We start from the raw sequence: 13,734 nt of genomic DNA on the forward strand, positions 1-13,734 counted from the left end.
AGATGTGGCCAGTGCCATTGAAGAAGGGAATTTCTAAGCTGTGAGTAAACTATGCAGCAGATTCATCTCAATTTTATATCAACTATATATTGAATCTTGAATAACAATATTTTAGATATATTTAGTTAAATATATTATTAAAATTAATTTCATATTTTTAAACTTAAAAAATATAGTCACAAGGCAATTCAAAATGATATATGCAGCTCGCCTTTGTGGGTCATGTTATATTTCTGCCAGACAGTGCCCTGGTCCGGGTCAGATGTCCCTCCCATGTGCTCCCAAAAGGCCCTGTTCTTATTCCTGGTACAACACATGTCAAACGCCCTGTAATCACCAATCTGATCCCTTGACCATCCTCTCCAACAGGGTCTGTTTCCTGAAGGGGTGTCTGGTGTCCTAATCAATGGGACATCCCTGTCACCTAATCACAGTAACTCACACAGAGGAGGTGCTCCCAAAAGATCAATGGGAAGAAGGGAAGGAGGGAAGGGGAAAGTAGCATGGGTCTGAACACATAGGAGGAGGCAGTTGCACACCCAGGAGGGTCTGAGTGGGCAGCTTAGGGGAGCCTCCCAGGCTAGGAGGGTGCAACACTCTTACTGGCCTGGATCTCGAGAAGGAAGCCTCCTGGATCAATGACTAGAGTAGGTTTCATGGCAGCTGTGATTTCCTATCACGGTGAATAGCTAAGTCGTGTTAGATGTTCACTCATACACATCCCCAGAGGCCTGGAGGAGAAATGCTTGATCTCCTAACATAATCCAAAAAGTAATCTTCTAGACACTAGTATTTCAGGTGAAAGCACCTTCTTCCTCTTCTTCCTCATCTTTTAGTCCATACGATGAAAGCATAATGGATTCTGTAATTTATCCACCTGGCAGGACTTTTTATATTTTTTTGGCCCATAGGCCATAAATCAACCTGGGTCTACTTACCTACAGCAAGTCTAGTTTGCAGGGGAAGGTGGCGTTCAGATGCAGCCTTCCCTGCAGTCATTCTGGGGGAGAAGCCTCACTATGCTGACAGCTCCTGCCTGGGACAATGCATTCCATGTGGTATAATTAAACACATACCCTGCAGATCCAGGAAAGGTGAGTCCGGTGGGTTAAAGGAATCCATGCAGTGGGTAAGACATCAAATACCATGCTTGTTATCATTTTCTTCAACATAGTGGAATTGGTCCACTGACAATTTATACAAAATGCGTGTCCTAAAATGAGAAGACAAGATGTATTTCAAACATACCTAAATTAAGTAACACATCTTTATAAGTTGTCTAGCTCTACACATAGACTACAGGTATCATTGCCTGGGAAACTCTTCCCTTATGGATTATGGAAATAAATGGACTGCACAGATTTTTTCAGTTGAGGTTTAGTCAAGAATTCTCATCTAGGTATTTTGAAGACTAAGATGTTAATACAGGTCATTAGAAGCTTAGGCAATCCTTAGAAGCCTGGGTGTAAAGGACCAGGGCAAGTCCTGAAGGGTGGAGTTCTCCTTGGTCTCAGCCTCCTGCAGGACCCAAGTGAATCCGCTCAGGAGGCTGCCCAAGGTGCTTGGAGCTTCCATGTACAGCTCGGGGCCCACAGTCCTGAAGTAGGGTCTTTCCTGACAACGTCTCCTGGCAGAGGAAAAGCCCCATGACCTCTCCTGTAGGGGAATTAGATGGTTTCTCTTTCTCTTTGGCCATCCAAGTTTTATAGGAAGCATTCTTGTTTCTTGTGGGATTCAACTGAAGTTTAAGGGACTTGAGCAGATATATAGTTTCCAGGCTGTATCCACTTTGGTTTGGGGTGAGGGAGCTCAGGTGGGAAGGGAGACATATCTGGAAGGTGCCTGAAATATATAAATGGTTTTTAATTTATGTATCCACAGTAGAAAATTTATTTTCATCGTGATTGTAAATCTTTATTTTTTTTCCCTTCAAATCACAAACAGGATTGTTAAGGCTTATTATGGTCAGAAGCTGGCCCCAAGTTTTACTAGACTTACAGACCTCTTAAAAACTTCAGGCTTACCACCCATTCCCAGGGCAGGAAGGTTATTGCACCTCTTCTTTCTACAGATTCTGCATTGCTGCAATGAACAAGAGCATCATTTCGTAGAGGTCCAGCACATGTTAAAGCAAATAAAATGTAAAGCAACACTTTATAATGGCATACACGCTAAATTATAACTGTTTTCCTTTTTTGCCTCCCATCCTTAATGTGAAGGGTTTTCATTAGATGACAATGGAGCTGAGTGTTGCAAGATAAGTGGGGGTTGGTCACATGGAATTTGGGGAAGGCAGGGGATCCTACCATCAAGAGGAGTTACATACTCAAATCATGGAGACTTTCAAGAGTCTTGGGGAACCACAGGTAGATCTGCATGGCTGGATCCTCGGATAGGAACGGAAAGCATGAAGGATGAGATGATGACAGAGGCAAAAGCTAGACTCTGAGTTTTAGATTTTTATCCTAAACACAAAGGGGTCAAGTAAAAATAAGGCACAGTTTTTTGTATTGAAGGAGCCATGTGAAGAGCAGAAGTTTAATTTTATGATGTCCAAATTATCTTTTTTACTTTCTTTTTTAGATCAAAATAGGGGTCTATTTTGATTACCACTGTTATTTTATCTCTATTTGATTTTTTATTTTTATTTTTATTTTTCTAATTTCATTGTAAATTTTTAATTAAACCCAAATATTCTAGGGGAAAGAGGCAAGATAGAAATAGTCTAACTTGGGCATAAATTTTAGAGTTATATTCTCTTGCCGAGAAAGGAAACTAGCTCTCTTACAATGATTGTTTAATTTCGGACTTCACTACTTTATGAGGATGCCCAAATTATGGGCTTTAAAAATATATATCCAAACAGGGGTTCAGAAAGAATAACTAATTGTGGACAAATGATTCCACCATAAGTTTGTCCAGTGACAGGGTCTATATTATTTTCTATATATCAAATTCTACAACTGGTTCTTAAACCTATTGTACATAACCTAAGTTAGAATATTAGGTATTAGTTGATAAGACATTTTATCATCTATGAAATTTACCCATTTCTTCTAGATTTTCTAGTTTATTTGCGTAGCGGTGTTTGTAGTATTCTCTGATGGTAGTTTGTATTTCTGTGGGATCAGTGGTGATATCCCCTTTATCATTTTTTATTTTGTCTATTTGATTCTTCTCTCTTTTCTTCTTTATTAGTCTTGCTAGCGGTCTATCAATTTTGTTGATCCTTTCAAAAAACCAGCTCCTGGATTCATTAATTTTTTGAAGGGTTTTTTGTATCTCTATTTCCTTCAGTTCTGCTCTGATTTTAGTTATTTCTTGCCTTCTGCTAGCTTTTGAATGTGTTTGCTCTTGCTTTTCTAGTTCCTTTAATTGTGATTTTAGGGTGTCAATTTTGGATCTTTCCTGCTTTTTCTTGTGGGCATTTAGTGCTATAAATTTCCCTCTACAAACTGCTTTGAATGTGTCCCAGAGATTCTGGTGTGTTGTGTCTTTGTTCTCTTTGGTTTCAAAGAACATCTTTATTTGTGTCTTCATTTCGTTATGTACCCAGTAGTCATTCAGGAGCAGGTTGTTCAGTTTCCATGTAGTTGAGCGGTTTTGAGTGAGTTTCTTAATCCTGAGTTCTAGTTTGATTGCACTGTGGTCTGAGATACAGTTTGTTATAATTTCTGTTGTTTTACATTTGCTGAGGAGAACTTTACTTCCAACTATATGGTCAATTTTGGAATAGGTGTGGTGTGGTGCTGAAAAAATGTATATTCTGTTGATTTGGGGTGGAAAGTTCTGTAGATGTCTATTAGGTCTGCTTGGTGCAGAGCTGAGTTCAATTCCTGGGTATTCATGTTTACGATCTGTCTCGTTGATCTGTCTAATGTTGACAGTGGGGTGTTAAAGTCTCCCATTATTACTGTGTGGGAGTCTAAGTCTCTTTGTAGGTCACTCAGGACTTCCTTTATGAATCTGGTTGCTCCTGTATTGGTTGCACATATATTTAGGATAGTTAGCTCTTGTTGAATTGATCCCTTTACCATTATGTAATGGCCTTCTTTGTCTTTTTTGATCTTTGTTGGTTTAAAGTCTGTTTAATAAGAGACTAGGTTTGCAACCCCTGCCTTTTTTTGTTTTCCATTTGCTTGGTAGATCTTCCTCCATCCTTTTATTTTGAGCCTATGTGTGTCTCTGCATGTGAGAAGTGTTTCCTGAATACAGCACACTGATGGGTCTTGACTCTTTATCCGATTTGCCAGTCTGTGTCTTTTAATTGGAGCATCTAGTCCATTTACATTTAAAGTTAATATTGTTATGTGTGAATTTGATCCTGTCATTATGATGTTAGCTGGTTATTTTGCTCGTTAGTTGATGCAGTTTCTTCCTAGCCTCGATGGTCTTTACAATTTGTCATGATTTTGCAGTGGCTGGTACCGGATGTTCCTTTCCATGTTTAGCACTTCTTTCAGGAGCTCTTGTAGGGCAGGCCTGGTGGTGACAAAATCTCTCAGCATTTGCTTGTCTGTAAAGGATTTTATTTCTCCTTCACTTAGGAAGCTTAGTTTGGCTGGATATGAAATTCTGGGTTGAAAATTCTTTTCTTTAAGAATGTTGAATATTGGCCCCCACTCTCTTCTGGCTTGTAGAGTTTCTGCCAAGAGATCCCCTGTTAGTCTGATGGGCTTCCCTTTGTGGGTAACCTGACTTTTCTCTCTGGCTGCCCTTAACATTTTTTCCTTCATTTCAACTTTGGTGAATCTGACAATTATGTGTCTTGGGATTGCTTTTCTCGAGGAGTATCTTTGTGGCATTCTCTGTATTTCCTGACGCTGAATGTTGGCCTGCCTTGCTAGATTGGGGAAGTTCTCCTGGATAATATCTTGCAGAGTGTTTTCCAACTTGGTTCCATTCTCCCCGTCACTTTCAGGTACACCAATCAGACGTAGATTTGGTCTTTTCACATAGTCTCATATTTCTTGGAGGCTTTGTTCGTTTCTTTTTATTCTTTTTTCTCTAAACTTCCCTTCTCACTTCATTTCATTCATTTCGTCTTCCATCACTGCTACCCTTTCTTCCAGTTGATCGCATCAGCTCCTGAGGCTTCTGCATTCTTCCCGTAGTTCTCAAGCCTTGGCTTTCAGCTCCATCAGCTCCTTTAAGCAGTTCTCTGTATTGGTTATTCTAGTTATACATTCGTCTAAATTTTTTTCAAAGTTTTTAACTTCTTTGCCTTTGGTTTGAATTTCCTCCTGTAGCTCGGAGTAGTTTGATCGTCTGAAGCCTTCTTCTCTCGTCAAAGAGAATGACTCGTCAAAGTCATTCTCCATCCAGCTTTGTTTCGTTGCTCGTGAGGAACTGTGTTCCTTTGGAGGAGGAGAGGTGCTCTGCTTTTTAGAGTTTCTAGTTTTTCTGCTCTGCTTTTTCCCCATCTTTGTGGTTTTATCTACTTTTGGTCTTTGATGATGGTGATGTACAGATGGTTTTTGGTGTGGATGTCCTTTCTGTTTGTTAGTTTTCCTTCTAACAGACAGGACCCTCAGCTGCAGGTCTGTTGGAGTTTGGTAGAGGTCCACTCCAGACCCTGTTTGCCTGGGTATCAGCAGCGGTGGCTGCAGAACAGCGGATTTTCCTGAACCACGAATGCTGCTGTCTGATTGTTCCTCTGGAAGTCTTGTCTCAGAGGAGTACCCGGCCATGTGAGGTGTCAGTCTGCCCCTACTGGGGGGTGCCTCCCAGTTACGCTCCTCAGGGGTCAGGGGTCAGGGACCCACTTGAGGAGGCAGTCTGCCCGTTCTCAGATCTCCAGCTTCATGCTGGGAGAACCACTGCTCTCTTCAAAGCTGTCAGACAGGGACATTTAAGTCTGCAGAGGTTACTGCTGTCTTTTTGTTTGTTTGTGCCCTGCCCCCAGAGGTGGAGCCTACAGAGGCAGGCAGGCCTCCTTGAGCTGCAGTGGGCTCCACCCTGTTCGAGCTTCCCAGCTGCTTTGTTTACCTAAGCAAGCTTGAGCAATGGTGGGTGCCCCTCCCCCAGCCTCGCTGCCACCTTGCAGTTTGATCTCAGACTGCTGTGCTAGCAATCAGCAAGACTCCATGGGCATAGGTCCCTCCGAGCCAGGTGCGGGATACAATCTCCTGGTGTGCCGTTTTTTAAGCCCGTCAGAAAAGCGCAGTATTCGGGTGGGAGTGACCCGATTTTCCAGGTGCCGTCTGTCACCCCTTTCTTTGACTAGGAAAGGGAACTCCCTGATCCCTTGCACTTCCCGAGTAAGGCAATGCCTCGCCCTCCTTCGGCTCACGCACGGTGCGCTGCACCCACTGTCATGCGCCCACTGTCTGGCACTCCCTAGTGAGATGAACCCGGTACCTCAGATGGAAATGCAGAAATCACCTGTCTTGTGCGTTGCTCACGCTGGGAGCTGTAGACCAGATCTGTTCCTATTCGGCCATCTTAGCTCAGGTGAGGTATCTCTTTCATTTCTTGTATGGCCACTAAAGACAAAGTCGGTATCATTTTACTTAGACCTTGTGCACATGCAAAATGCTCTTTGCATCTGTTGATTAGCAGGCTCATAGCATCTGAGCAATTATCATTTATTGAGATTAAGACATATTGACTTCCAACGAGATCAGCTGGGGTTCTGTGCATACTTCCAGTTGTGTTTCATCAAAATTTTGTTAGGTGAACAAGGGAAAAACAACATCTTAATTTGCAATTATTTAATTATGAGGTATGTTGAGGTTCTTTTCAATTATTTGTGTGAAACTTGCGTTTTATTAGTGTAAACTGCCCATTTTTCTTTTTCCACTATTTTTATTATATTTTGCAGATGTGCAAAAAGCTTTTATATATATTAAGGATTTTTCCCTTCTATCATTTTGGCAATCTTTTTTCTTGTTGTTGGGTTTTTATTTTTAATCATGATATTTTTGTTGTGAAATTTATCTGTCTTTTTTATGGGCTTTAGTTTTTGCTTCTTGCTTAAAATATCGTTTCTAATAAAAGATTACGTTTACTTGTTTTTTCTAATATATTTGCATTTGCCTTTTTAAAACATTAGAGGTTTTGATTCGTCGGATTTAGGTAAATTTGTCAGGAAAGGTGGAACTGAGTTTTGCTTCTTCCTTGATGATGCAGTTTTCCCTTGTCATTTATTTAACAATCAATTTTTGTCCAGTGATTCAAAATTCTGCATTATAATATGCTATAATCCTATATTTCATTCTGGACTCTCCTTCTAATGGTCAATTTGTCTATTTCTATTGTAGAGCAAAACTTTTAATGACCACAGTTACAGAATATGTTTCAATATCAAATGGCCCTTGACGTCATTACTACTTTCGTTTTCCCCAGAATTTTCCTGACTGTGCATGCATAATAATGTTTCCAGATGAACTTTACAAATAGGTTTCATGGTTCTAGAATAAGATAATATATATGAGGAATGAAAGTTGATCTTTTTGTAATACTCAAGGTCAAGGTATAACTTCAAAATATTAGGTCTCCTATGTTCCTTAGAAATTTAAAGTGTTTCTCATAAAAATCCTTCAAGTATTTTTTGTTTAGTTTATCCTAGACATTTTTATTATTGTTTTTGCACACTAATGGGATGTCCTTTAATATTTTATTTTCTAAATACTTGCTGCTTATGCTTAAAAATACTCTTTGATGTTTTATAACCTGCCATTTTGCTGAAGGCAGTTTACTAAATCCTAATGTTCTAATGGTTTTACTATATTTTATTTGAATGATTGCCTTGGTTGAAAGCTCTTTATAAAGTCCTAGACAGTGTTGATTCATGCCATCATCATTGTCATCCTCCTCCTCCTCCTCCTACTTATCATCATCACTCTCACCGTGATCCTTATCACCATCACCATCATCCTCATCATCACTATCATTATCCTCACCATCATTACTATCATCATCACCCTCATCATCCTCACCATCATCACTATTACCAATATCACCATCACCATTATCACCATTATCCTCATCATCATCCTCACCATCATCATCTTTATCATGCTCCTCCTCATCATCTCCATCATCATCATCATCATCATCATCATCATCATCATCATCATCGGTAGTAGGAGAGGAGTAATAACAGTGATAGCAATTTCAACCCTTCAGGCCCTACATTATTGACCCTATTCTGCCCATGTAAAGAGTCAGAACAATTCTCAATGAGTGACTACCCAAAAAGGTGGGTCCCACAAATGAGAGTAGAAAAAGTATTTATTCATTCACTTAATAAAAACTTTATGGATTGTCTACATCAAACATTCAGTTATGGCCAAACATGCAAAAATAATCAAGGTACAAGACGAAAAATGGAAAGTTGAGTGTATCAATCACCTTATGTACCTCATCTCATGTAATTGTCCCCAAAGCAATTTATCAGTTGTATATTGTTAATCCTGTTTTTGTAAACAGGAGTGTCAGTGAAACTGACACTCAGAAAGGCTAATTCCCTTGGCTAGCATAATACAGTGATGTATTTGGGATTGAAACTCAGGTCTATCTGATTCCAGAGTCCTCTCTCTTTTTCCTCTACCCCTACTCCCTGGCATTTAGGAAAAGCCCTAGGCTTGAATTCTTAGTGCCATGAGATAAGTGATATAATGGACCCATGTGCAGAGGAAGGCGGGATCAAATGCCACCTGCCATTGGGGGAGTAGGGAATAAGTGGGCATTCATCAGAAAACCAAGGGATTGGGGGGAGAGGTGTTGCAGAGATGGGAAATAGCATGTATGAACCATGTATAAACATTTAACTGTTTTAAATGTGGTCATGAATTGCTGTATTTGAAATGCAGTGTGCTGCAATGGGAGGAGAGTTAGAGCTGAAACTCTGGCCAGAGGATGGAGAGGCTAATCTGAGTGTGTGGTAGGTTAGCATATCAATGGGCTGACATGCAGTTTTTCTTTTTTAATATCTTTATTAAGATACAATTCACTACTACTCTTCCATAAAAAAATGTATTTTACAGTAACTTGGATGGAATTGGAGGCCATTATTCCAAGTTAAGTAACTTAGGAATGGAAAACCAAATACCATGTGTTCTCACTTATAAGTGGGAGCTGATATATGGGTACACAAAAGCATGGAGAGTGATATGTTGGACACCGGAGACTCACAAGTGGGGAGGGTTTGAAGAGGTGTAAGGGATTAAAAGAACTACATATTGGGTATAATGGACACTGCTTGGGTGATGGGTGTGCTAAAATTTCAGACTTCACCACTATACAGTTCATCCTTGTAGCTGGAAACCACTTGTACTCCTGAAGCTATTAGAAAAATAAAGATACAATGCACACACCATAAAATTCATCCATTTGAAATACACAGCTGGGAATGCCCATCGAGAGGAAGAGGTTTACATTTATCTTGAGGATACGGACTCAGGAGTCCTCAGAGCATCTGGGGAGTGAGAGTGTGTGGTGCCATTTGAGCAAAGGGTGAAGGAGACAGAAAGAGCTTTGAGGACAGACCAGAGAGATGCTGAGACTTAGTAGGCAGGCGGAGGAAGAGAAGCCCACGGGGGAGAGAAGGAAGGAGGAGAATGAGCAGCTGTGCATCACAGAAGAGGGTGCAGGAAGAGGGAGGCATCCACCAGGAGGACTGGAAAGAGTCCAGAGGACATGGCGGCCAGGAAGCCCTGCTAAAGCTTGGTGAGGGTGGGTCAGTGTGGAAGGATGCTAATCAGAGCGAGGAGAGGCATGAGAGGCAGGTGAGGCGGCTCAGCCATTGCTCAAAGAATCGCCCTTCAGAGGCCTTCCCAGCTCCACGGTGACATCCAGACGGTCTCCCTGGCCTCTATGTCCAGAAACTAGAGAGAAGCTCGACCAGTTCACCGTGTCTCATCCTTTCTCTGGCGCGATTTAGATGGTACCTGGAACCTGGGCTTGCCCCAGGTGGGCCTTCACATAGACCATCTCTATTGTTTTCAGGAATCCAAGAGGAAAGCAGAAGAAATTCTGGGGACCTGCAGCAGACAGACCCAGTTAAAAAGGCAACTCAAAGGCTCTAGCAAGATCTCAATTTGGCTCTGGGCTATATTAATTCAGGTAGTCATATTGAACTCTGTTGAAATACGTGGGCCATGTTACATCTAGAACCTAAACTGTGGTGAAAGCCTGTGGGTAACCAATTCCAGGATATTCTTCAGAGTTACTCAGATGAAGCCTCTTTATTTATCAGCACTTCTTGATCAAGAAGAGCGAGTCCTGGGCCTGATGCCTTTTGTTGCAACTTGGGGTGACATATCTATTTTTTGGCAATTGTATTTGCAGTTCATAACAACGCTGCACTCCTCACCAATGACCTGAAACGTACACAGTTGGATGAGGCTCAGTCCTAGAGCCCTGGATCCTTCCTGCAGCCAGAATGCTGAAAGAACGCTACTCCAGGCTGGGCACAGTGGCTCAGGCCTGTAATCCTAGCACTTTGGGAGGCCGAGGCAGGTGGATCACCTGAGGTTAGACATTCGAGACCAGCCTGGCCAACATGGTGAAACCCTCTCTCTACTAAAAATACAAAAAATTAGCTGGGTGTGGTGGTGGGCACCTGTGATCCCAGCTACTCTGGAGGCTGAGACAGGAGAATCACTTGAACCCAGAAGGTGGAGGTGGCAGTGAGCCAAGGTCATGCTATTGTACTCCATCTCAAAAAAAAAAAAAAAAAAGAATGCTACTCCACTCCTGTTGGCATGGAGCAGACTGAGTGTCCTCCGGGAAAACCTGAAGTTTGCTGTAGGCTCAGACTAGAAATGATCTTGCCGTGTTACAGTGAAACCAGGTCAAGGCTTCTCTCCCACTGAGCTCTTTGACCTTCAGTTTCTCAGTATCCTGGCCAAGCCTCAGAGGTTGAGGGGCTGAGGTCATTAGTAGACAACCATCATGTCAGGCTCAACTTCTTATCTTGCAGACCACCAAGGCCACACAGAGCCATCCAGAACTGCGTGATCCCAGCAACACTGTCCTCCTCCCTAGAGAACAGTTGGTGTGTGCCTTCTGCTTTTTTAGAGCATTTCCTCACTGTGGCATTGGCTGATGCATTTTTATTTTCTGGATTTTAATTAAAATCCTGTAATATTCTGATCTAGGCAGCATAAAAACTCACATTCAAATATATGTGTGTCTGTGTGTGTGTGTGACAGCGGTGTATACACACACATATACATATGCTTTGAATAATTACAATACAGTTTTTCTCATATATACTAATTCTTTTTAAGCCAAAGGAAATAATTTATATTTTTCAAAACTTTGCGTTTGGCCAAAAAACCAAAACCCAACCAAAACCAAAACCCAACCAAAAACAAAACCAAAACCAAAAACAAAACAAAACAAATAAACCCTCCAAATCCCAGCACTATTGATTTAAAACAACTTGAAAAGTTTGAGGAGTTGCCTCATTTTTTTGCTTCTATTGTTTCCTGTATATAAATAGCCTTGCATGGCCTCATTTATCACTGTGACTTCTCTGGGGAACTTCCATTTCCTGCTACCTTAGCCTCCTACTTGTACAAAAACATGGAACAGGGAGCTAAATATCCCAAATAGAACAAGTCATTGAAAAAAAAAGCAATCAATGATGTGTGTAAATCATCTATCTGCAGGCAGGGGTATTTAGCAAGGGAATCTCAGTGAGGGTGTGGAGGAGAAAGATCTGTATAACACAGCACTAGAGAAATCTGCACACTCAAGCCTATCTCTGTCCAAGTGATGACTGGAAATCTTGGAAGTGCTGTCTGGCTGTGGAAGAAAACCAGGTGGTGGTAACTGCTTCACCATGTGGCACTGAGGGGCAAGGCTTGGGGACCAGCATGAATTAATCACAGGCTTTTAGAATGTCATCACATTCCTTGGGTCTGGCTTTGGTGAATTCCAAAGCAAAAGCTGGAAGAGAAAGGCCATTTCAGCTTCAGCATTTTCTTTTTCAAATGCCAGTGTTGTGGTTTCAGGTTCCCTTTGATGTCAGTAGCCCAGAGCCTTTGCAGAGCGGGAACCCACTGCACGTGGCAGATGTGTTCAGTGTTTTCTGTAGAAAGAGACGCGGGGATGAGTTCTCCACCATTGAAGAGGCCAGTGAATGTGTAGGGCCCTCACTGTTGAGCAGCTGGCTCAGGATCCTTCCACTGATGCATTTTGCCTGATACAATCTCTGCAGAGAGGTCCATTTACTGTTCTTTGGTCAATCTTTGAAAGAGACACATTCCCTACCTCTCTGTAGATCAGCATAGTTATGAGAATGATGAACTCAGCATTGCAATCCCTGCCTGCCAGTTTGCTGAGTGACCTTGAATGTGAGTTACCAAGGACTGCAATTGCCTGTCTTCCTTCAGAACATGCCTCGAGGAAGATATGCTCAGGTAAAGTAATCTGTTGACAAGCCAAGCAAAAGGCAACCTTTGATAATCTACCCAATGGAAACATTTAATGGAATTCAGCAGAGCTTGTATTACACGAAAATTATAAGGCATAGATATGGTCAAGTGTTCTGGAAAATTGCTTCTGGCTTTATCAAGTACTAGAGGCTTAGTTTTCAGAGACTTAACGTGTTTAGTTTTAATTATTTTTTTCACATGTAACATACTTTATTTAATAAAGTATTTGAAACAGTTTACAAAAGTACACACCATATAAGAAGATAAAGTATACACAAGGAGATTTCCAGGTTATGAATGAAACTTGCTACCTATGCCTGAATAAATATCTTCCACTTTCCAGTGGAATTCCCAGGGAATAAAGAAAAAGGTGCAAAACGTGTAGGGCTGGAAATAAGAGGTTTGATCACTGAGCCCAGCTGTGGAACTTCCGTAAGTGATTTACATACAGCTCATATCCAAAGCTCTGAACACCACCACACTGGGGAGGAAGCAGGAAGGAGACTGTTTGCCTTCACTCCATCTGCGTGGTTCTGCCTTGGAGACCTGGTCCCAGGTGTCAACCAGAAAGCCTGGCCACCAATTCCCAGTAAGAGGATTTGCTTTTGAGATGCTCAAGTCTTTCCTTACCCTACCACTTCTATGCCCAGCCACCCAATCGAGAATTTCTCTGTTGTCACATCTATTATGCACATTGTTACTTGAGTGTTTAAGTGTTCACACAGTGATTCACTGCATCAAGAAATTGAACTCAACAGAAGAGATGATGAAAACAGTTGGGGTCGGGTATGGTGGCTCACGCCTGTAATCCCAGCACTTTGGGAGGCCGAGGTGGATGGATCACGAGGTCAGGAGATCGAGACCATCCTGGCTAACACGGTGAAAACCCCGTCTCTACTAAAAAATGCAAAAAGTTAGCCAGGTGTGGTGGCGGGCACCTGTAGTCCCAGCTACTCGGGAGGCTGGGGCAGGAGAATGGCGTGAACCCGGGAGGCAGAGCTTGCAATGAGCTCCAGCCTGGGCGACAGAGCTAGACTCTATCTCAAAAACAAAACAAACAAACAAACAAAAAAGGAAACAGTGGGAACGATAGGGAATCCCCCACTCTGGGCACTGCCACTGTGCATAAAATACCTTCAGCAAAGACGAAGGACAGTGTGTGTCCACTCACCCAGAGCACTGTCTCCTCTTCACAGTCAGCACCCTGGGCCATCCCAGCAGAGGACAGGCCACGCCAGTTCAATAGAGACATATGAATCAGCTCCTGATAGACAAGGGAATTTCACCCACAGTTATCACATCACCACCTGTCCCTTAGCTTAAGCTCCTGCAGGTGAGAAAAAAG

This window comes from Homo sapiens, chromosome 10 (genome assembly GCF_000001405.40).
Source record: "Homo sapiens chromosome 10, GRCh38.p14 Primary Assembly".
Classification (NCBI taxonomy): domain Eukaryota; kingdom Metazoa; phylum Chordata; class Mammalia; order Primates; family Hominidae; genus Homo; species Homo sapiens.